General features: G+C 39.9%; 1 protein-coding gene across 28 annotated transcripts in view, besides 1 other annotated feature; it reads left to right on the top strand.

Moving 5' to 3' along the window:
* Positions 1 to 2,981: 2,981 nt before the first annotated feature.
* CFAP20DC (CFAP20 domain containing) overlaps positions 2,982 to 23,696 on the top strand; it is a 333,853-nt gene continuing 313,138 nt past the window's right edge. For 22 of the 28 annotated variants that reach the window (XR_001740051.3, XR_007095648.1, XR_001740054.3 and 19 more), the window contains exons 1-4: positions 2,982 to 3,396; positions 5,753 to 5,842; positions 6,685 to 6,778; positions 13,378 to 13,450. Coding sequence is in view for 10 of the 28 variants with exons in the window: in XM_047447655.1 (XP_047303611.1) it covers positions 3,376 to 3,396; positions 5,753 to 5,842; positions 6,685 to 6,778; positions 13,378 to 13,450 (278 nt within the window). In the remaining 18 variants the exon portion in view is untranslated. Of the gene's footprint in view, positions 3,397 to 5,752; positions 5,843 to 6,684; positions 6,779 to 13,377; positions 13,451 to 23,696 lie in introns of those variants that run through there. The other 6 variants (NR_147235.2, NM_198463.4, XM_011533456.3 and 3 more) reach the window with 3 other exon arrangements.
* Positions 20,503 to 21,335: an enhancer, noted in NCBI's record as "H3K27ac-H3K4me1 hESC enhancer chr3:59017398-59018230 (GRCh37/hg19 assembly coordinates)". NCBI's record gives its function as "activates a minimal SCP1, AML or CMV promoter by ChIP-STARR-seq in naive H9 embryonic stem cells {active_cell/tissue: H9 hESC(naive)}" and the evidence as "EXISTENCE:reporter gene assay evidence [ECO:0000049][PMID:30033119]".

The raw sequence follows: 23,696 nt of genomic DNA, 5'->3' as shown, positions 1-23,696 counted from the left end.
AGGGGGAGTGTGGCCCTACTGATACTTTGATTTTGGACTTCTGGCCTCCAGAACTATGAGAGAATAAATTTCTGTTGTTTTAAGCTACTCCTTTTGAGGTAATGTTACAGCAGCCACAGGAAACTAATATACCCGCCCAATGTTACTCCCTGTGATTGAATTCATGATATTTATCACAAGTTGTAATTATTTGCTATTTTATTTATCATCTGTCTCACTCCCCTGTGTAAGCTCCATGAAGGTAGGGCCATTCACTGCACACCCAGTCTCTTAGCATAGTATTTGAAGTATCTTATGTTCCTAGAAACTGTTAAAAAGAATTAGTGGATAAATGTCCCCCACAGATAAGTCTTGTAAGACAGAGACCATGTCTATTGATCACAATTGTCAAAGCCTCCAGCACAGAGCCTTACAAGAAACTGCTGTTGAACTAAGTTTGCCAGTCTAGAAATCAGGAATTTTGGATTCTAGACACTATACTGCAATGTATAGCTGTGCCATGGCCCCCACCTCTATTTCCTTTCCATCTATTATTTGGCTTAGAATGTTCAAGAAGGTTTGTTCCTTATCTGCTCTTCTTATCCTTGATAAGGAGCAGGTCCAAATATCATTTATTTTCGCGTCCCTTACATAATCCATAATAGTTGGCATATGATACGACAATAAATGTTTGAGGTTTTTGGGTGAAGTGGAATGATTCCAGGCTTTAGACTCAAACATAAATGAAACTCAATATTGCATCCTTGAGTAAATTCCTAATCGACTCTGAATCTCAATCTTCTCAAATGAAAGGAGACTAACCCTTACCTCACAGAATCGTGAACCTGTGAGCCACTCTGCCTATAGCAGGAATTTTATGAGTGGTACCTGATTAGCATTAACCTATGCCATTGACCTAACTCAACCATGAGTGCAGCATCAGATAAGAGTTCCTAACTGGTGCTGTGTCCGGAATCGGTGGGTTCTTGGTCTCACTGACTTCACGAATGAAGCCGCGGACCCTCGCGGTGAGTGTTACAGCTCTTAAGGTGGCGCGTCTGGAGTTTGTTCCTTCTGATGTTCGGATGTGTTCGGAGTTTCTTCCTTCTGGTGGGTTCGTGGTCTCACCGGCTCAGGAGTGAAACTGCAGACCTTCGCGGTGAGTGTTACAGCTCTTAAGGCAGCACGTCTGGAGTTGTTTGTTCCTCCTGGTGGGCTCGTGGTCTCGCTGGCTTCAGGAGAGAAGCTGCAGATCTTCGCGGTGAGTGTTACAGCTCATAAAAGCAGTGTGGACCCAAAGAGTGAGCAGTAGCAAGATTTATTGCAAAGAGTGAAAGAACAAAGCTTCCACAGTGTGGAAGTGGACCCCCAGCTAGTTGCCAATGCTGGCTCGGGCAGCCTGCTTTTATTCTCTTATCTGGCCCCACCCACATCCTGCTGATTGGTAGAGCCCAGTGGCCTGTTTTGTCAGGGCGCTGATTGGTGCGTTTACAATCCCTGAGCTAGACACGAAGGTTCTCCACGTCCCCATCAGATTAGCTGGATACAGAGTTTGGACACACAGGTTCTCCAAGGCCCCACCAGAGCAGCTAGACACAGAGTGTCAATTGGTGTACTCACAAACCTTGAGCTAAACACAGGGTGCTGATTGGTTATTTACAATCCCTGAGCTAGACGTAAAGACTCTCCACCTCCCCACCAGACTCAGGAGCCCAGCTGGCTTCACCTAGTGGATCCCGCACTGGGGCCGCAGGTGGAGCTGCCTGCCAGTCCCGCACCGTGCGCTCACACTACTCAGCCGTTGGGTGGTCGATGGGACTGGGCGCCGTGGAGCAGGGGGCGGCGCTCATCGGGGAGGCTCGGGCTGCACAGGAACACACGGAGTGGGTGGGAGGCTCAGGCATGGCGGGCTGCAGGTTCTGAGCCCTGCCCCGCGGGAAGGCAGCTAAGGCCTGGCGAGAAATCGAGCACAGTGCCGGTGGGCCAGCACGCTGGGGGACCCAGTAGACCCTCTGCAGCCACTGGCCCGGGTGCTAAGTCCCTCATTGCCCGGGGCCAGCAGGGCTGGCCGGCTGCTCCGAGTGCGGGGCCTGCCAAGTCCACGCCCACCCGGAACTCCAGCTGGCCTGCAAGCGCGGCACGTAGCCCGGGTTCCCGCTCGCGCCTCTCCCTCCACACCTCCCTGCAAGCTGAGGGAGTGGGCTCCAGCCTTGGCCAACCCAGAAAGGGGCTCCCACAGTGCAGTGGGGGGCTGAAGGGCTCCTCAAATGCCGCCAAAGTGGGAGCCCAGGCAGGGGAGGTGCCGAGAGCAAGCGAGGGCTCTGAGGACTGCCAGCATGCTGTCACCTCTCAGTGCCATATGACTTTGGCCAAGCCATTTAACCTTTCTGAGCCACAGTTCCTTAGCCAAAAATTGGCAATAGTACCTTCCATGTAAGAAGTGGCTCTGATCTAGAAACTAAATAAAGTAACTTAATAGTTACACTTAAGCCAGTGCTAGTCTCAATAAGTTATTATTTTCTACAAAAAAATCTTGGCTTCCTAGGGTCTTCTGAAACAATGAAAGGGTCCAGCAGACCCTCTTACTGCCTCAACGAACCCAAATTTGGGAACCTTCTAAGCAAAGGCCGCGTGAGGGTTCCATGAGTCCATGACTGTATCCCTCAGGAACCTACCAGTTATCTGTTTACCACGAGGAGAGACCAAACCGATGTGACAGTACTCTAGAAGAGTCCAGTACCTGGTATAGCCCTAATCCACGCTGAGTTTAGCCTTTTTAGTCGGCAGAGGTCATGACCTAAGTAAGGAGCGTGCTGCTCACCGTTTGGACCGCCCACCATTTCTCCAGGAGTCCCGCGGTTGCCTGGGCAACGCTACGTCACCGCGTATCCTCCCGTGCCCGTCGGCGAGAAGCCTAGAGAGCGCAACGCGCAGGCGCCCAGTGGGAACCAATGGGCGCGGCCGGAACGCGGGTGGCGCTCGGCGCTGCTCTTTCGCGGTTTGATTCTGGGGTGGGGCGGCAGCGGGAGCGCGCCCGCTTTTCCTAGGCCAGCGGGCGGTTGTCTGTGGCTCCGCGACTGGGCGCCCCGTCACGTAGGTTACACACACAATCACTCCCCAGGGACGGCCCGGAGTCCGTCCAGGCAGCTGCGCCCTCCCCAGACCCGGGCACCGCGGAGGCTGGAGCCGCAATGGTGCTGATGGAGGGCGGGAGATGGAGCTGACCAGGGGCCGGAGGGGCTGAGAAGAGCCTGCCCAAGTCTGGGCCAAGCACGAAGCCCTTTCCCACCCGTCGGGCTCCTGGGTTCCCGCCAGCCGATTTCCAGCCGTCAGGGTCACGCCACTCGCTGGAAACCCTGAACTCTGTGCCCCCCAAGCCCTGGGCCCCCTGCGGGAATGTTCAAAAATGAGTACCAGGTAACCCGAAACGGTTCTCCAACCTGTCTATACCTTTCTCCTCTTGGGTGAGGTAGTCCGTGATCGGGGTGAGGATAAAGTGCACCCTCTATCCCCATAATAAGGTCTTTTTCAGGGGTAAGACAGAATTAATGGGTGAATGCTGTTGACCCAGAGAGAAGGAAAAATTTACCAATGTCTAGGCGTATGATTTGGCTTTTGTTCACTCTCCAACTCAGTGTTTCTTAAGATGAATTAATTGTCTGTGATTCTACCTAAAATGGAGATCTTAAGCCCCACTGAAACCTCCTGAATCAGAATCTTGAGGGCAGGGCCCAGAAATCTTGAGTTTTAACAAAGCGCTTTGGAGACTCAGTATTCATGCAACACTGGTATCTCAGAAGCGATTTAGAAGAGTGAATGAGTGAATGCATGCATTGTTACATCAAGAAAGAAAATAAGCACTTTGGCTATGTGCTGTTTTATTTTTACAGAACTGGGAGTCAGTGAATCTCAGACGTTGGAGTACATCAGGCTTTCTTGGGGTGCTTGTAAACGTGCAGATTTCCTGACCCGCATCCCAGATCTGGTGAATCCGAATCTCTGGATGGGGGTCACTTGATTAAGCTTTTTAACTAGTTCCCCCAAGTGATTCCTATGCAGGGGGTCCAAGGATCACACTTGGAGAAACACTGCTTCTGGGTCGTCCTCAGTCACTTTGAGTATCCTAGAGTGTCTCGACCTGCTTTCCTCACCTCACTGGACACCTCCCTTCCTGGTCTCCTCTCCTCGCCTTTGCAAGAGGTTACACTCCTTGTTTACAGTCTGTTTACCATGCTAGTCCTGCTGTTCTGATGAACGTTTGTTACTGTATCTAATCAGTTCTCTACCCGTCTCCACCTCTTTATTGCTTCTGCCTTTTCATTCACCTAACACTACTTGCCTCATTATGAGTGCTCTCGGAGTAGTCTGCAGTTCTCTTTCTTCTGTCCCATTCGTTATCACTAATTGGGCTAGAACACTTTTAGAGAGTTTGTCTCACTTCTTATAGGTAAAATATATTATCAAAAAAACATGTGCCCACTACAGGAAACTTGGAGGACATGGGAAAGCAAAAAGCAGCAGGGAGAGTTTGCCGTCTCACCGAGTATGAGGGCTTTTGTCTTTTAAAACAACTAGCTGTCTCAAATTTAAATTCATAGTGAAATATTACCTGCCCTCACAAGCTATAGTAATTCTATCCCATATACAGTTTGCACGTAATACTGCCTAAGGAAGAAGACATTAAATGTCTTACCTCCAAGTGATCGTGTGTTATAACTGAGAGGCAAAAATATCTTTATATTACTGAGAAAAATTAAAAGCTGGAAATTCCTTACAGAAATTAGATTTGCTCACATATTGTTTATAATTCAAACCGTATTTAATCCTCATATAGGATTCTCATTTTTTGCAATAAATTCTTCCTTAGAGATAATTATCTTATTTAATTCCCCTTTCTTAAATAATTAAAGCTTATGGACATTCAGTAATATCTTCAGTGTGCTTACATAAGTGTGTCCTTCCATGTTCTCATGTTTACAATGGGGAACCAGTAGGCTGTCTGTAGACACAATATTTTATTTCTCTTATACAGATTTTATAGATCTTCACATTAATTTGTATTACATACGTAAAAATATCTTGTAGGAATGCTCAAAATAGGAATTTCCAAATCCCTCCCAGGCCTTTTTATTGACCAGTACTAAACTGTTTAATTTCCCTTCCCATTTTTTGAATAAACTTTGATGGTGCTGTTGAGCCCCTGCTGTGAGCTGAGTATTATGCTCAAGGTTTAATGTTTAGTATCTTATGTAATCCAACAACCCATTTTACAGATGGAGAATCAAGAAGTTAAGTAACTCCAAGTTCAGATAGTTAAAAAGCCAGTGTTGGAGCCTCAGTCAGTATGACTAGAAAGCTTGTATTTGGAGATAACTACCTGAATGTATTGGCCTGATTCAAGAATTGCGTTTAAACCCTTTAGTGTGGTTGCAAAACACAGTCTGTAAAACATAAAATGTTTTGCAAGAATGATCTGTATGTGTCAAGTAAACGAGTCCCCCACTGAGATACTGTAGGGTTTGTATGGCACAATTGATTTAATGTTTGTCATGCTTTAAAAACAGATTCTTTAAACCATTAATCCAAGGTGATCCAAATCAGAATGGTTGTGGTTTAGATACAATCAAGGTATAAAGTAGGAGTAATAACAGGGAGAATGTTTCATCCCAGATCAGCTTAACTGACAGATGCCGGGAACACTGGTTATAGACTATGTGGTGGATAATACTTCCTCGTTAGCATTGTCTTTTAATATTTTATTTTCATTTTCTAGGGAGGTGCATTTGTTGAAATTTTCAGTGCTCAAGGAAAAAATCCTGGAGCAAAATGGAAGATCCTTGGTAGTCCATCTGTGATTTGGAAAGTAAGTATTAGAAATTAGAGCCACATAAATCAGGGGAAGAAATGTGAGTGAAGCTTATAGAAGAAAGGGCGTGATCAAATTTCAGAGCTGTTTTTCCTGTTCTTTCACTCCAAAACCCTTTCATGACATTGTTGGCTGCAGCTGTCCTGGACACCACTCTTCAGTTGTCTAAGACTTTGGCACACAGGTCATAACCCTTCTATGTACTCCATGCCCTGCTGTGTATCATTTTAGATGACTTCAGTATCTGTAAGAAAAATCTCTCCTAGTCCTGGGCTTCTCAGTTTCTTGATTTCTTCATCTTTAACAACCTCTTCCGCTCTACTTCAGCATTCATCCCTACTGTCTTACCCTGCTCCCTGTCACCACAAACTATAGGACCTCTGAAGTTACTGAGACATTAAAATGTCCCTTTCTGATCCCAATCTTTATTCTTAAGGTCGCTTGCTCAATTACTCCACTCTCTTCTTCAACTTCATTGGGAACTTTAGGCCATTGACTGTTCTACTTTTCCTGTGTTTTGTTTTGCTTTATTTATTGATTTAATTAATTTATTTATTTATTTTATTTATCTCCCTTTTCTCTCCAGCCCAGAATCCATCATCCATAATTTCAGTCACTTTCCAGTCCACACCTTGAATGCCCTTGCTCTTTGTCCTTTCACCATGCCTCCGTATTCTAGTTCCCAGCAAGTCTTGGAATAAAAGTACTAAGGCCTGAGCCTGCTTTTAAGTTATTTGAATATGGGATTTTTTTTTCCCTGTAGATCTGAAGTTTCAATTTTATAGTAGAAGCCAAATAAAATATCCTGTGATAACTACTGTTTTCATTTTGTTCTATAGGAGTTTGATAAAGAAGTTAAAAGTTTTGTGTTTGTCCTGGAAGGCAGCAGCCAAACAAACAAAATTCAGTTACCAAAGGAGAATAAGCAAAGCCGTAAGTAATATTTTTAATATTGAAACTTAACATTTTGTACTCAAAGTTCTGCTTTTATGTCTCATAAACAGGCACATTAGTATGACTTCTACTGACATCTATTTATGTAAGATGATAGAATTTTTTTTTTAATTTAGAGGGCAACTAACTATGCTAGGCACTATGCTAGGCCTTTAAAAAAATATATTCTACCTCACCATCTTCTAGAAATCTAGTAGTATCTTAAAGAAGATTTAGAAGAGTATTTGGCAGCCATTAATTATGATAATAATAGCATTTATTGAGCACTTACTATGTGCCAGGAGCTTTGTAAACATTTAATATTTATGAACTCTTTTAATCCTCCTAATAGCTCTTTTACAAATGAACAAACTGAGGTTGGTTCCTCATCAGGGCTAAACTTTGAAATAAAATCAGCATTCCTAAATACAAGAAATTAATTTGTGAGAAAAAATGTATCAGAAGTAAGATATAAAGCATAATTTAGTGACATGTCAACTCATATACTTATTACCTTTTAATATTAATCATAAAGTATATATATGAATATGTGATTTAACAAAGACCCATAGAATCTATTTCAATTCTTGTTTACTTTAGAAATTAAGATCAGCATTTCAAAGCAGAAGAAACCCTGAGAGATAACGCAGATTTATCAGAAGCCCAGTTATTAGCAGAGACAGGGTTACAATTCAAGGCTCTGCTACTAAATTAGACCTTGAGTAAACTGATTGATTTAAGGAATATGATTTATCAGAATGATTAACTAGATTTTTCATCAACTACGTCCTATGTTTTAAATATAAATTTCAGGTGATTTAGCAAATATAAAGTTTTTTTTTTACATTCATCATTTACTTATTCCTTCTTTCATTCATTAGAACATTTATCGAATACCTACCATGCATGAAGCTCTATAAAAAGACCTGTTGTTGGTACCTGATTTTATCATTTTAATTCAGTTTTCTAAACTTATATAGGTTCTGTGCTTTATGTGCCATTTCAAGCTACTACATGCATATTTTAGATTTCTAAGACATAAACTAGCCATAGAAGTTATAAGTGAAAGATGATTTATTTTAAAGTGGTTTGCCAGTGTTTCTTTCTAAACTACGAAAGAGACCGGAAAAAAAAAGAAGAGATATCATCATTAAAGATAGTTTTTAATTTATTGCCACTTAAAGATTATGCTTTCCTAATAGTTTCTGCGTGTGTGTGTGTGTGTGTGTGTGTGTGTGTGTCTGTAATAGGAGGTTTTTTGCATTTCCATATATATTTGTACTTATAAATGAGGTGAACTAAGATGATCCAGGGAAACCTGTCTGAAACTGTGGTTTCATCTTCTTGCAAGAGGCACAGGACATCTTTTTAAGGATATTGGTTTTGTAAGACATGTAGATACATTTGACTTTCAGGAATATGACTTTGTTCTAAGCCAGTGTTAGTTCTTTTGTTTTTTTCTGAACTTATAAAGCCCACCTGTATTTTCATTTAATGCCCTCAGTATGTATGCACATGGTTACCTTATTAAAAAAATCAATCACTTTTAGTAACCTTTCTCATTTGATTCTGAGATAGATTCCTTCTCTACTAAAGACTGAATGATTAAATACAAGCTCTGCTTTTCCATTTTTATCTGAAGTTTTTTTTTTAAGAAATAAACCAAGTTTAATGTATCATAATTACTTTTTTAAATGGAAAGATGATCGTTTTAATTGTAAAAAAACAGAAAAATCTTTTAATGTATTTCTTGTACAATGCCTTATAATTAAAAGTTAATCTGGCTTTTCTATATCATGTGTAGCACTGTAACAAATGAAACAGTTTATATAGTCTGCCCTGCACTGATGCCTTTAAGGTTATTTGGAATTTTTGATAACAGAAATTTATAGCTATTTTTACTTGTGTAAAATGACCTTCTATGTGAAGTTTGTATGGTTAAATTTAAATTGAATGACATGCCTTGAATAGATAATTGGCTTTTAATTAACATTTATAAATTCAATTACCGTTATGTATTCCTATTTTAAGAGTAAACATCCACTTTATTTATGCAAACTTGACATTAGGTACCCTATTTGTGTTTCTGTCTGTATTAGGTACTACTTAGGAAGAAAGTTTAGTAATGAAATTAAGTATGTTTTTTGTTTTAAAAAATAATATTTCTGATTTAACTTGTATTTGAGGATCTCAAACACATAAAATAAAGGAAATTGTGATATTACTTATCAGAATTGTGCACTTCTCTAGGGCAGGGATCTTCCTGAATCATCTTCTTTGTACCCTTAACTCAGTGCCTGGTACATGGTTGGTGTTCAATAAGTTTGTTAAATTTGCCATACTATGAAACTATGACAATTTGGGTCATAATTTTTCATTGTAACCAGTTGGCCTTGATAATGAGACTTGAGTAAACTCTTCACCAGCTAAATAAATAAATCCCTGCTGCTCTTCACTCTGGAACACATTATGTAGAGTTGCCCATATGAGGAGCAGCTCTGTCACACATAAACATATGTCATTTGGAGGGTCTTCTTCAGAGCTTTCTGTTGGAGGCTCATGTTTGAAACCATTGTTTTCTCTGCCTGTGGCATCTGAATCAAATGATGTGTCTCGGGGGAGTAGCATCCCTGAAGCCTGGCATTGTTCTGCATTTCAGCTGCTCTGGAGGATGAGGTCACCTTTATGAGGTTTCCCCAGGCCTCCTCAAGCCCCCACTTTAGTATCATTTTTATCTTGTCATGACTTCCTCTGTTTAAAACCCCTCAGTGGCTTTGATCTGCCTCTATTTTCCTGAATCCGGTGGACAGTTCTCAGCCCTCATCTTACTTCACATATTAGCATCATTTGAGAAAGTTGACACCTCCTTCTTATATTTTCCTCACTCATACCCAAGATGTCCATACTCCTAGTTTTCTTCCCATTTCACTGTTCTTCTTTCTTAGCCTCCTTTTGTGGTTCTTCCTCTTTTCCCCAACTTGAATTAATGTTGCAGCGTCCCTGGACTCAGTCGTTGGCACTCTATCTACACTTACTCCCTTGGTTATCAGCTTCCAGCTCATGGATTTAAATGCCATCTCTGTCTTACTCTAGCTTACATTTCCAGCTCAGACTTCTCTCCTAACTCTAGACTTCTTGAATATCATCTTACTTACTTGACATTTCTACGCTTGGACAGCTGAAATACAATATGTCCAAAGCCTAACTTCTGGTCTTTACTCCTCGAAATTCCTTCTCCTGCAGGCTGCCCCATTTCTGCTGTTAGCAACTTATCTTTTCAGTTGCTTAGAAAAAAAGCTTTTAAATCAGCTTTGATTTTTCTTTCTCTTCATTCAGTCTATCTGGAAGGTCTTGTTGGCACTATGTTTAAAATAGGTTGAGAGTCTGATCACTTCTTGGTACCTCCAGTGCTACTGGCCAAAGCCACCAGTATCTCATGCTTGGATTATTGTAGTAACCTAATTGGTCTCCCTGTTTCTGACTTGGCCTCTGTATTACAGTCTATTGTCAAATTAGCAGCCAGAGTAATACTTTTAAATTGTAAGAAACACATAAGTAATGTTACTCCTCCACTAAAAATGTCCCATCTCTCTCAGATTAAAACTCAAAAACCTACAGGACTCTGCAGTATCTGGTGCCCTTCTTAGTTCTGACCTATTTCCTATTACTCTTTTTCTCGTTCGTGCTTTTGCAACCATACAGGTCCCATTGCTGTTTTGAAACATAGTCCAGTGCACTATCACCTTGGCACCCATGCACAGACTGTACCCTCTACCTACAGCATTTACCCCCGAGAATAGACATTCAGTAAATCTTTGTCGAATAAATGAATTAATGTACGAGGGGTTTACCATTGATTTTAGGATGACTTATATTCTTCACATGGTCTTCAAGACCCCACATAATTGGTTTCCTCTCTACTTTGCCAAACCCGTCTCCTGCTGCATTTCCTCTTCTGTCTCTCCTATCAGCCCATTAAGCCCTTTTTAGGTTTATCCAATCTACTCCATCCTTTTCCATCATAGGATGGAGTACTCCCTCTGCCAGCAACGTTTGTTCCTCTCTCCTACACCCATCCCGCTTGCCCAGTCAATTCCTGTGTATTCATCCCAGCTGAGTTTCAATGCTTGTCCTTCAAGAAAAGCTTCACTAATCATCCTCTTCTCCTGCAAGGACCCAGGGTTATATGCTTTCATAGCACCCTGACTTTCTCCTTCATGGAGCTAGAATATAAATTCTAAAAGGTCAGAGAGCATGTATGTCTTATTTACTGCAAAAACTTCAGCATTGAGTCTTGTACGTAGTAGGTGCTCAGTAATCTTCGTTGCATGGTAGACCTAATTTAATCCATATAAATAATCCTATGAGTTGTAAATCTAAACTATTAACCCAGTTTTTACAGATGAAAAGTAAAAGGGCCCACACAGGTTTTCTAATTTGCTCAAGGGATATGGAATAGCCCATGATGAACAGATAACTAATTCCTGTTTTGTGTGTTGAAGTGGGAGAAAAAAAGTAGGTAGTTTGTTTCTGACAGACAACAGATTATAAAACTGTAAAAAGCTGCATATTTCAGGAAGAAACTAAATTTTTATGAATTTTATGTACTTGATGGACATTTTTGACTAACAGAATTTCCACATTCAACATTACTTAGAGAGAGTGATTTTAAATATAATGTAGACATGAATAGTCAGTTTAAATATACTAAGCCACTGGAAAAAAATGTTACTATAGAATTTATTTAGCATCTGACACACAGGATCAGTCTGTGTCAAATGTTATTAAAGTACTTTTTTTTTGTCAGATCATCACCATATGGTATCATAATATTTCTTTTAATCTTAGAAGTGAAACGTTTTGGAAACTGGGGCTTCTATATGTGAGAAAGTTGAATTACAAAACTTTCTTTTTTTGAGGGTAAGAACTCTTTTATATCTAAAAATGCTCATATAAAAATGCCCTATGTGTGTAACTCTTTGTGTTTGAAGAGAACAGTGCTGATTCAGTGAGATTTGTGACATAAATTAGGGACCTTTTTTAAAGACTGATTTCACTTATCCTGCTGTTCTCTCAGCTCTATTTACAGAGGCCATTGTGCAATGGAAAAATACTGTGGGGCCAATCAATGCAAGATGCAAGAGAGATTCATTGAGGATGGTTTATTTAAGTTGGCCTCATTTTGGTATCTCACTTTGCTTTTGTAGACCAGAGCTCTGCTTGCCTCACTGGCTTTTCCCATAAATATGGTAAAGTCAGATTTCTAGAGAATTTTCTAGGATCAAGGCCTGTGATCTCTTATTTCTGTTACATTGCTTACACTACTGATGGCCCTCTGGAGAGTACTAAGCAGAAGCTTAGTACTTTTAAGTAAAGGTTATCCCTGTATGTTTGATAAAAATGTTATGCATATTTGATCAAATATGTTTATTGTTTAGAATGTAAATCTGGGATAAAACATAGGAACTGTTATAAGTTGTTCAGGAATGTTGCAAAATGGGAATCATATACCAGAAGTTCTTTATATAGACTATCCAAAAACGTGTTGTTACTTTAAAATCCCTTAATTTGTTAAGCGTACTAAGTTGGAATAATATAAAATAGCATGAGTTTTAGACTAGTTGCCTTTTTTTTGTCTTTAATCCACGTGTTGGTCTGTACTATTGGCTTTGTAGGAGAGGTTCACAGATAAATCAAGACATCTCCATTTTCTACCCAAAAAGTCCCACAGCAGGAAAATATGTTTGTAAATTGCATGTTTTAGGAAGTGTCATACTAAAAACATCTGTTAAGAGCACCATAATTGAGAGATCAAGCAAAAGTTCAAAACCTAAGAGGAAAGGCATTAAGTGAACAGATCTGGAGAGGTAATATAAAATCAATTGATTTTTTAAGCAGTTGTAGAATTTAGCTGTCAAAAATGCTGTAGGGACTGGTTTCTCTGCAAATATTTTTAATCCAGATGAAGCTAGTAATAGGGAATAAAAGCTATCAGTTCTCAGTGAACATTAAATTAATTAAATATATGTTAATTAACAAAAGGTTTAAATGAAAATATGATCCTCTATTCATCTCATTGTGGACACATTTAAAACCATATGAATTAGCTATGGCTCATCAAACCTTCAGTTGTAGTTGTCATAATTAGAATTGTTTTCTTGATCTATTGTTTTTTATTAAGTTGTTTAGTACAGTTAAAACTGCCAGTGAATAAAAATAATTGCCACATGCTTTTATGGCTGCCTTGAATGGAATTTATAGTTCAATTTTATATGTCTCTGTTGAATGCAGTTCTATGTGTACATTCTCTTGCAACCTAATAAAAATAATAAAAACTTATTATTTTTGAAATTTTAATAAAAATTTCACGAAGGCCACAGATGGAACTTTAAAAGACATTTGTTGTAAGTTTGATTTTATTTTCATCAATTTTTTTTGCTTTCGTAATGAGGTTGTAACTCATAGGTAGTGCTATTTGCAGTTCTATGTATTACTGAAATGCTAAAATCTTCAGCTTGTTCGTGGTTTGTGATTGTGTTTGTTTATATGCACATATAAATGCTTCGAACATTTGAATGTGTATTTCCTCTTCATTCTAGTTGGATTGATCCAGAGGTTTCTTGTACTTCAGATTTACGTACCCCTGGGACAAGACTTCTCCACTGAATTGCTGTAAGATATACAGAACTTCTTTGAATGTTTTGTGTGTATTAGACATTTGATCAATTGAAGCAGTACCAACAATCATTAATTGCAAGTGACAGTTTTTGCATTAAAGAGCAGTGACTTACATCAAGTCAACATCAAGTAATTAAACTAATTTAATCATATTTCTTGGATATCACTATAGTCTGGCATTTCCCTAGGAAAAGAAAGCAAATTTCATCTGTTTAAGAAAATATCAAAGGATTATTATTTTGACAATAAATGACCTATAACTTGAAGAAATATATAATCCAAAAGTTTGAGATTTTGGTTTGAATGAAGGGCGATGTTATGTTTTGTACGGTCTGCTATTCAAAACTATGGTTGGTCAAAAATTGATTGAAATATCTTATTTTAATAATATTTACTTTGTCTAGAAGTATTACTCCTTCCTATTTACATATAGCAGCTAGCAATATATTTGTTTTAAATGGAGATTGTTTAGCAAAAATGAAAATATACAACCTTTACTCAGTTGAGCTATCTATTATGTGAGATGTTATTGAGAATGAAAATAACATTTGATTGGTACGCTTGCATAGAATTGAGTATTGTTGAAGATTTTATTAATAAATTTATATACTTTAAATTAACCATTACATTTAAGGTATGCTATTTTCTTATTCTTCTTTGTAATTAATAGCTGTCCAAGGTCTGAGCTTAGGTTTTTATTTTCCATGCCAGAATAAATGATTTTTCTTATTAAGGAAGATGATTCTATACTGCTTTTACTAAGTAAAAGATGATTTTTTTTCAGTGAAGCCATCAAACACACAATATTTATTAATCAAGTTCACCATCTTATATGGGGTTTGTTCATGGCACCCCAAAACAATTACAACATGAAAGATCACTATCATAGGTCACCCTAACAGATAAATAATACTGAAAAAGTTTGAAATATTGCAGGAATTACAAAAATGTGACCTACAGACACAAAGTGAGCACATGCTGTTATAAAAATGGCACTGATAGATTTCTTGACACAGGGTTGCTACAAACCTTCAATTTGTAACAAACATAATATCTGCAAAGTGCAATAAAGCAAAGCTCAGTAAAACAAGATATGCCTGTAGCTATGTAAGACATCTTTCCATTCCATCTAGGTAGTTCTGCATCACTCTTTTGGATGTTACACAATTTCAATCCATTGGCCAAGCTGGTCTATTTTCAAACTTCATGGTTTTCCACACTTATATTTCTTCACATTCTTCTTTTTGCTTGGGACAGGATTCTTATTATTATTATACTTTAAGTTATGGGATACATGTGCAGAACGTGCAGGTTTGTTACATGGGTATACACGTGCCATGGTGGTTCGCTGCACCCATCAACCCGTCATCTACATTATTATTGGCATTTCTCCTAATGCTATCCCTCCCCTAGCCCCCCAGCCCCTGATAGGCCCTGGTGTGTGATGTTCCCCTCCCTGTGTCCATGTTTTCTCATTGTTCACCTCTTACTTATGAGTGAGAACATGTGGTGTTTCGCTTTCTGTTCCTGTGTTAGTTTACTGAGAGTGATGGTTTCCAGCTTCATCCATGTCCCTGCAAAGGACATGAACTCATCCTCTTTTACAGCTGCATAGTATTCCGTGGTGCATATGTGCTACATTTTCTTTATCCAGTCTATCATTGACGGGCATTTGGATTGGTTCCAAGTCTTTGCTGTTGTGAACAGTGCCGTAATAAACATACGTGTGCATGTGTCTTTATAGTGGAATGATTTATAATCCTTTGGGTATATACCAGGTAATGGGATTGCTGGGTCAAATGGTATTTCTGGTTCTAGATTCTTGAGGAATCGCCACATTTATTCTACAGTGGTTTAATTTAGACTCCCACCAACAGTATAAAAGCGTTCCTGTTTGTCCACATCCTCTCCAGCATCTGTTGTTTCCTGACGTTTTAATGATCGCCATTCTAACTGGCATGAGATGGTATCTCATTGTGGTTTTGATTTGCATTTCTCTCAAGACCAGTGATGATGAGCTTTTTTTCGCATATTTGTTGCCCACATAAATGTCTTCTTTTGAGAAGTGTCTGTTCATATCCTTTGCCCAGTTTTTGCTGGAGTTTTTTTTTTTTTATTGTAAATTGGTTTAAGTTCCTGGTAGATTCTGGATATTAGCCCTTTGTCAGATGGGTAGATTGCAAAAATTTTCTCCCATTCTGTAGGTTGCCTGTTCACTCTGATGATAGTTTCTTTTGCTGTGCAGAAGCTCTTTAGTTTAATTAGATCCCATTTGTCAATTTTGGCTTTTGTTGCCATTGCTTTTGGTGTTTTAGTCATGAAGTCTTTGCCCATGCCTATGTCCTGAATGGTATTGCCTAGGTTTTCTTCTAGGGTTTGTATGGTTTTAGGTTTTACATTTAAGTCTTTAATCTATCTTGAGTTAATTTTTGTATAAGGTGTAAGGAAGGGGTCCAGTTTCAGTATTCTGCATTTGGCTATCCAGTTTCCCAACTCCATTTATTAAATAGGGAATCCTTTCCCCATTTCTTGTTTTTGTCAGGTTTGTCAAAAATCAACTGGTTGTGGATGTGTAGCATCATTTCTGAGGCCTCTGTTCTGTTCCATTGGTCTATATATCTGTTTTGGTACCAGTACCATACTGTTTTGGTTACTGTAGCCTTGTGGTATAGGTAGAAGTCAGGTAGCATGATGCCTCCAGCTTTGTTCTTTTTGCTTAGGATTGTTTTGGCTATATGGGCTCTTTTTTGGTTCCATATGAAATTTAAAGTAGTTTTTTCTAATTCAGTGGTAGCTTGATGGGAATGACATTGAATCTATAAATTACCTTGGGCAGTAAGGCCATTTTCACAATATTGATTCTTCCTATCCATGAGCATGGGATGTTTTTCCATTTGTTTGTGTCCTCTCTTATTTCCTTGAGCAGTGGTTTATAGTTCTCCTTGAAGAGGTCCTTCACATCCCTTGTAAGTTTTATTCCTAGATATTTTATTCTCTTTGTAGCACTTGTGAATGGGAGTTCACTCATGATTTGGCTCTCTGTTTGTCTATTATTGGTGTATAGGAGTGCTTATGATTTTTGCACATTGATTTTGTATCCTGAGACTTTGTTGAAGTTGGTTATCAGCTTAAGTTTTTGGGCTGAGACGATGGGGTTTTCTAAATATGCAATCATGTCATCTGCAAAGAGGGACAATTTGACTCCCTCTCTCCCTATTTGAATACCCTTTATTTCTTTCTCTTGCCTGATTGCTCTGGCCAGAACTACCAATACTGTGTTGAATAAGAGTGATGAGAGGGCATCCTTGTCTTGTGCCAGTTTTCAAAGGGAATGCTTCCAGCTTTTGACCATTCAGTATGATATTGGCTATGGGTTTGTCATAAATACCTCTTATTATTTTGAGATACATTCCATCAATACCTAGTTTATGGAGAACTTTTAGCACAAAGGGATATTGAATTTTATCGAAGGCCTTTTCTGCATCTGTTGAGATCATGAGGTATTTGTCATTGGTTCTGTTTATGTGATGGATTATGTTGATTGATTTGCGTATGTTGAACCAGCCTTGCATCCCAGGGATGAAGCCAACTTGATTGTGGTGGATAAGCTTTTTGCATCCATGTTCATCAGGGATATTGGCCTGAAATTTTCTCTTTTTTGTTGTGTCTCTGTCAGGTTTTGGTATCAGGATGATGCTGGCCTCATAAAATGAGTTAGGGAGGAGTCCCTCTTTTTCTGTTGTTTGGAATAGTTTCAGAAGAACTGGTACCAGATCCTCTTTGTACCTCTGGTAGAATTTGGCTGTGAATCTGTCTGGTTCTGGGCTTTCTTTGGTTGGTAGGGTATTAATTACTGCCTCAATTTCAGGAATTGTTATTAGTCTACTCAGGGATTCAACTTCTTCCTGGTTTAGTCTTGGGAGGTTATATGTGTCCAGGAATTTATCCATTTCTTCTAGATTTTCTAGTTGTTTTATTGCATAGAAGTGTTTATAGTATTCTCTGATGATAGTTTGTTTTTCTGTGGGATCAGTGGTGAAATCCCCTTTATCCTTTTTTATTGTGTCTTTTTGATTCTTCTGTCTTTTCTTCTTTAGTAGTCTGGCTAGTGGTCTATCTATTTTGTTAATCTTTTCAAAAAACTAGCTCCTGAAGTCATTGGTTTTTTGAAGGGTTCTTCATGTCTCTATCTCCTTCAGTTCTGCTCTGATCTTAGTTATTTCTTGCCTTCTGCTAGCTTTTGAATTTGTTTGCTCTTGCTTCTCTAGTTCTTTTAATTGTGATGTTAGGGTGTCGATTTTAGATCTTTCCCGCTTTCTGATGTGGGCATTTAGTGCTATAAATTTACTTCTAAACACTGCTTTAGCTGTGTTTCAGAGATTCTGGTACATTGTGTCTTTGTTCTCATTGGTTTCAAAGAACTTATTTATTTCTGCCTTGATTTCATTATTTACCCAGTAGTCATTCAAGAGCAGGTTGTTCAGTTTCCATGTAGTTGTGGGGTTTTGAGTGAGTTTCTTAATCCTGAATTCTAATTTGATTGCACTGTGGTCTGAGAGACTGTGTTATGATTTCCATTCTTTTGCATTTGCTGAGGAATGTTTTACTTCCTATTATGTGGTTGATATTAGAATAAGTGCAATGTGGTACTGAGAAGAATGTATATTCTGTTGATTTGGGGTGGCGAGTTCTGTAGATGTCTATTAGTTCTGGTTGGTCCAGAGCTGAGTTCAAGTCCTAAATATCCTTGTTAATTTTCTGTCTCATTGAGCTGTCTAATATTGACAGTGGGGTGTTAAAGTCTCCCACTATTATTTTGTGGAGTCTAAGTCTCTTTGTTGGTCTCTAAGAACTTGCTTTATGAATCTGAGTACTCCTGTATTGGGTGTATATATATTTGGGGTAGTTAGCTCTTCTTGTTGCGTTTATCCCTTTACCATTATGTAATGCCCTTCTTTGTCTTTTTTGATCTTTGATAGTTTAAAGTCTGTTTTATCAGAGACTAGGATTGCAACCCCTGCTTTTGTTTTCTTTCCATTTTCTTGGTAAATATTCCTCCATCCCTTTATTTTGAGCCTATGTGTGTCTTTGCATGGAAGATGAATCTGCTGAATACAGCACACTGATGGTTCTTGACTCTTCATCCAATTTGCCAGACTGTGTCTTAATTGGGGGCATTTAGCTTGTTTACATTTAAGGTTAATATTGTTATGTGTGAATTTGATCCTGTCATTATGATGCTAGCTGGTTATTTTGCCCCTTAGTTGATGCAATTTCTTCATAGTGTCAATGATCTTTAAAATTTTGTATGTTTTTGCAGTGGCTGGTACCAGTTTTTCCTTTTCATATTTAGTGCTTCCTTGAGGAGCTCTTGTAAGGCAGGCCTTGTGGTGACAAAATCGCTCAGCATTTGCTTGTCTGTAGAGGATTTTATTTCTCCTTTGCTTATGAAGCTTAGTTTGACTGGATATGAAATTCCGGGTTGAAAAGTCTTTAAGAATATTGAATATTGGCCCCCATTCTCTTCTGGCTTGTAGAGTTTCTGCAGAGAGATCCATTGTTAGTCTGATGGGCTTCCCTTTGTGGGTAATCTAACCTTTCTCTCTGGCTGCCCTTAACATTTTTTCCTTCATTTCAGCCTTGGAGAATCTGATAATTATGTGTCTTGGGGTTGCTCTTCTCAAGGAATATCTTTGTGGTGTTCTCTGTATTTCCTGAATTTGAATGTTGGCCTGTCTTGCTAGGTTGGGGAAGTTCTCCTGGTTAATATCCTGAAAAGTGTTTTCCAACTTGATTCCATTCTCCCCATCACTTTCAGGTACACCAATCAAACATAGGTTTGGTATTTTCACATAGTCTCATATTTTTGGAGGCTCTTTTCGTTCATTTTCATTCTTTTTAATCTAATTTTGTCTTCACCCTTTATTTCCTTAAGTTGATCTTCAATCTCTGATATCCTTTCTTTTGCTTGAATGATTTGGCTGTTGATAGCTGTGTACGCTTCACGAAATTCTTGTGCTGTGTTTTTCAGCTCCATCAGGTCATTTATGTTCTTCTCTAAACTGGTTATTCTAGTTAGCAATTCCTCCAACCTTTTTTCAAGGTTCTTAGCTTCCTTGCATTGGGTAAGAAACATGCTCCTTTAGCTTGGAGGAGTTTGTTATTACCCACCTTCTCAAGCCTACTTCTGTCAGTTCATCAAACTCATTCTCCATCCAGTTTTATTCCCTTGCTGGCAAGGAGTTGTGATTCTTTGGAGGAGAAGAGGCATTCTGGTTTTTGGAATTTTCAGCCTTTTGCGCTGGTTTTTCCTCATCTTTGTGGATTTATCTACCTTTGGTCTTTGATGTTGGTGACCTTCGGATGGGTTTTTGTGTGGACATCCTTTTTGTTGATGTTGATACTATTCCTTTCTGCTTGTTAGTTTTTCTTCTAACAGTCAGGCCCCTCTGCTGCAGGTCTGCTGGAGTTTGCAGTGGTCCACTTCAGACCCTGTTTGCCTAGGTATCACCAGTGGAGGCTGCAGAACAGCAAAGATTGCCGCCTGTTCCTTTCTCTGGGAGCTTCATCCCAGAGGCACACCTGCCAGATGCCAGCTGGAGCTCTCCTGTATGAGGTGTCTGTTGACCACTGCTGGGAGGTGTCTCCTAGTCAGGAGGTATGGGAGTCAGGGACCCACTTGAGGAGGCAGTCTGTCCCTTAGCAGAGCTCGAGTGCTGTGCTGGGAGATCCACTGCTCTCATCAGAGCCAGCAGGCAGGAACGTTTAAGTCTGCTGAAGCTGTGCCCACAGCCGCCCCTTCCCCCAGGTGCTCCATCCCAGGAAGATGGGGGTTTTATCTATAAGTGCCTGACTGGGGCTGCTGCCTTTCTTTTGGAGATGCCCTGCCTGGAGAGGAGGAATCTGGAGAGGCAGTCTGGCTACAGAAGCTTTGCCCAGCTGCAGTGGTCTCTGCCTAGTTCGAATTTCCAGGTGGCTTTGTTTTCACTGTGAGGGGAAACCGCCTACTCAAGCCTCAGTAATGGTGGATGCCCCTCCCCCCACCAAGCTCGAGTGTTCCAGATTGACTTTAGACTGCTGTGCTGGCAGCGAGAATTTCAAGCCAGTGGATCTTAGCTTGCTGGACTCTGTAGGGGTGGGATCTGCTGAGCTAGACCACTTGGCTTCCTGGCTTCAGCCCCCTTTCCCGGGGAGTGAATGGTTCTGTCTCGCTGGCATTCCAGGTGCCACTGGGATATGAAAAAAAAACTCCTGCAGCTATCTCGGTGTTTGCCCAAACAGCTGCCCAGTTTTGGGCCTGAAACCTAGGGCCCTGGTGGTGTAGGCACCCAAGGAAATCTCCTGGTCTGCAGGTTGTGAAGACCGTGGGAAAAGTGTAGTATCTGGGCTGGAATGCATTGCTCCCCATGGCTCAGTCCCTCACCGCTTCCCTTGGCTAGGGGAAGGAGTTCCCCGAACCCTTGTGCTTCCCAGGTGAGGTGACACCCTACCCTGCTTTGGCTCGCCCTCCTTGGGCTGCACCCATTGTACAACCAGTCTCAGTGAGATGAGCTGGGTACCTCAGTTGGAAATGCAGAAATTACCTGCCTTCTGGGTTGATCTCACTGGGAGCTGCAGACCAGAGCTGTTCCTATTCAGCCATATTGCCAGCCACCTCTTGAAAGATGATTTTATACTACTTTTACTAAGTAAGTTTGGTACAAACTAAGAAGAAGAGCTTTCTTAATAAAATGAGAGTGACATAAATTTGAGAAATATTCATTTCTTTTAATTTATATGAATTTAGATATTAATGATTTGTTTATATGTTGTTAACATATGAATTTTAGCTATCAATATACAATCTTGTCTTCTTGGGTGATAAAAGATAGATAGAACAATTTATACGTTTGTTTTATTCAGTCTTAAATCTCAGTAAACTTTTTACTAAGATCTTCTTTCATCATCTGCCATGGTCACTAGGTTTCTTTAAAATAGCTCTTAGAGTAACAGGACTAAAGCATTGTTTGATGCACTCACGTATCACTTTCTGGTTCTGCAGAAAAAGCATTTTCAAGACTCCAAAGGCATGCTAAAGGTAGAGGGGATCACACAAAACTTTATTTTCAGTGTAGGGAAAAGTGGTTCCTGCCAAATGGAAGAAGGTAAATTATACTTTATTTTTAAGCTCCTTAACAACCCATAGAATCCCATATAGGCCCAGTTATTCTTCTTATCTCCCTATCAGAAGCAGTGGTGAGGGTGCTGGTAGTTGGCCTTTTGATCAAAATTGTACAAGACATTTGGCTGAACCTTAGAACAGAATCTTTTGCCGATGAGCCCTCTTTTTCTATGCAAAATTAAGCTTCATTTGTGCCCCCAAACACTAGAGCTTATTACTTTAGCCAAGGCAATAGACTGTCTTAACTAATTTAAAAAAACTTAAAGCTGGCCAGGCACGGCGGCTCAAGCCTGTAATCCCAGCACTTTGGGAGGCCAAGGTGTGTGGATCACGAGGTCAGGAGATCGAGACTATCCTGGCTAACATGGTGAAACCCCATCTCTACTAAAAATACAAAAATTAGCCGGGAGTGGTGGCGGGCGCCTGTAGTCCCAGCTACTCGGGAGGCTGAGGCAGGAGAATGGCGTGAACCCGGGAGGCGGAGCTTGCAGTGAGCCGAGATTGCTCCACTGCACTCCAGCCTGGGTGACAGAGCGAGACTCCGTCTCAAAAAAAACAAAAACAAAAACAAAAACAAAAAAAAACTTAAAGCTTTAATTATTGAGAAATCAATGAATATCTTAGGTTTAACTTAGTCCTAGCCAGAGAGCAGTTGATATCTGAGTCAACCTGATGACTTCTTTCTTATCCTATTACTGATGCTCTTGACCTATTTAAGGATAGGAAAACATTTCGAGGGGTGTTGGGGATAATGACTATATTTTAAATTCAGTTGACTATAGAAGTAGATTACCTTGTTCTCTTATCTACATGGACAAACATTTGGATTTTCCAAATGGTTTCAGTTTTATAGTTTTAACAAAATAGATATCTTATGGATTAAAGATCAAAATTATTAAATAACATGGGGAAGACATTCTCTCTCCTGACCTTGGGAATTTATCAGATTGTGAGAAAATATGCTAACTCTCTATTTGAATTTGTTACTGATAGACAATCAAAATATAGTGCTGTTTTAGGAAGTAGTGACAGAGATCATGTTTTTACAGGAAGGAAAGTGGAATAACAAGTATGGATTGTCTTTCTATGCATTGCTGCACTGCTTTTTTTCCCCCTTAAATGAAAGGGCTTTCTTTCAGCACCCTCAGTGTTTTACTATGTTTCTGGCAGCATAGCTCTAGGCTATTTTAAATAATACATTTCTCTAACAAGCTTGGAAAGTCACATAACAGAAAGGTATCTGGCTTCTAAAATTTTTCATTGTCAGAATGGGAGAGGCATTTTGTTTCACAAAGATACATTTATACATCAAGAAGTTTTCATAAGTGAAGTCTTGCCAGCTGGTTTACAGATTTAGTCATCATTTCCTCAGCATCTTTCTATGTCTCCCATGCCCACTGGATGATTATGCATATGGGGTAGTTGGGGCTTGATAACCAGCAACAGCTCTGCTTGAGGAATTACTCGTTCATTCAGTCGATAGGTAATTGAATTCCTCTTATTGTCAGGCATCGTGTTAGGCATGGGGGATTTGATATACCTCGAATTTGTATACTTCTCCCCACGCTTGCTACTACCCTGCTAGTCCCAAACCACCATCACATTTGCCTGCCCCACTCTTAGAGCTTCCCAGTGGACTTCCAGCTTCTTCTCTTGTCCTCTTTCATTCTAGTCTCCAGACTGCAGTAGAGTGGTCTTTCTAAAAACCAACTGAAGTTCCCATTGAACTGAGGATAAACTCCCAATTCACAGTACTCCTGGGTGTTCTGGTCTCACCTCTCCCTTCTCATCTCATAGCACTCACTCTGCTGGTAGCTCACAATTTGGCTGCCAACCTGCTTCTTTGCTTCCTCACGCACCAGGTGAAGTCTCTTCTTAGGGTCCTGTGCACAGTGGTTTCTGTCCCCATCTCTTTGCCTGGCTAACTCCTCCTCTTCAGCCTCCTCATCTCAGCTTAAGTGTCCCTTCTTCAGAAAGCCCTTTTATGATTTTCCGCCAACTGAATGAAGTTCATCTCTTATGCCTTTTCTAGTACCCTTTTCTTTTCCTTCATTACAACTGTAACAGTTTATAATTATT

Source organism: Homo sapiens, chromosome 3, assembly GCF_000001405.40.
Source record: "Homo sapiens chromosome 3, GRCh38.p14 Primary Assembly".
Lineage (NCBI taxonomy): Eukaryota > Metazoa > Chordata > Mammalia > Primates > Hominidae > Homo > Homo sapiens.
Note: the sequence above shows the minus strand (reverse complement) of the source record. Positions and strands in the feature narration are given on the sequence as shown.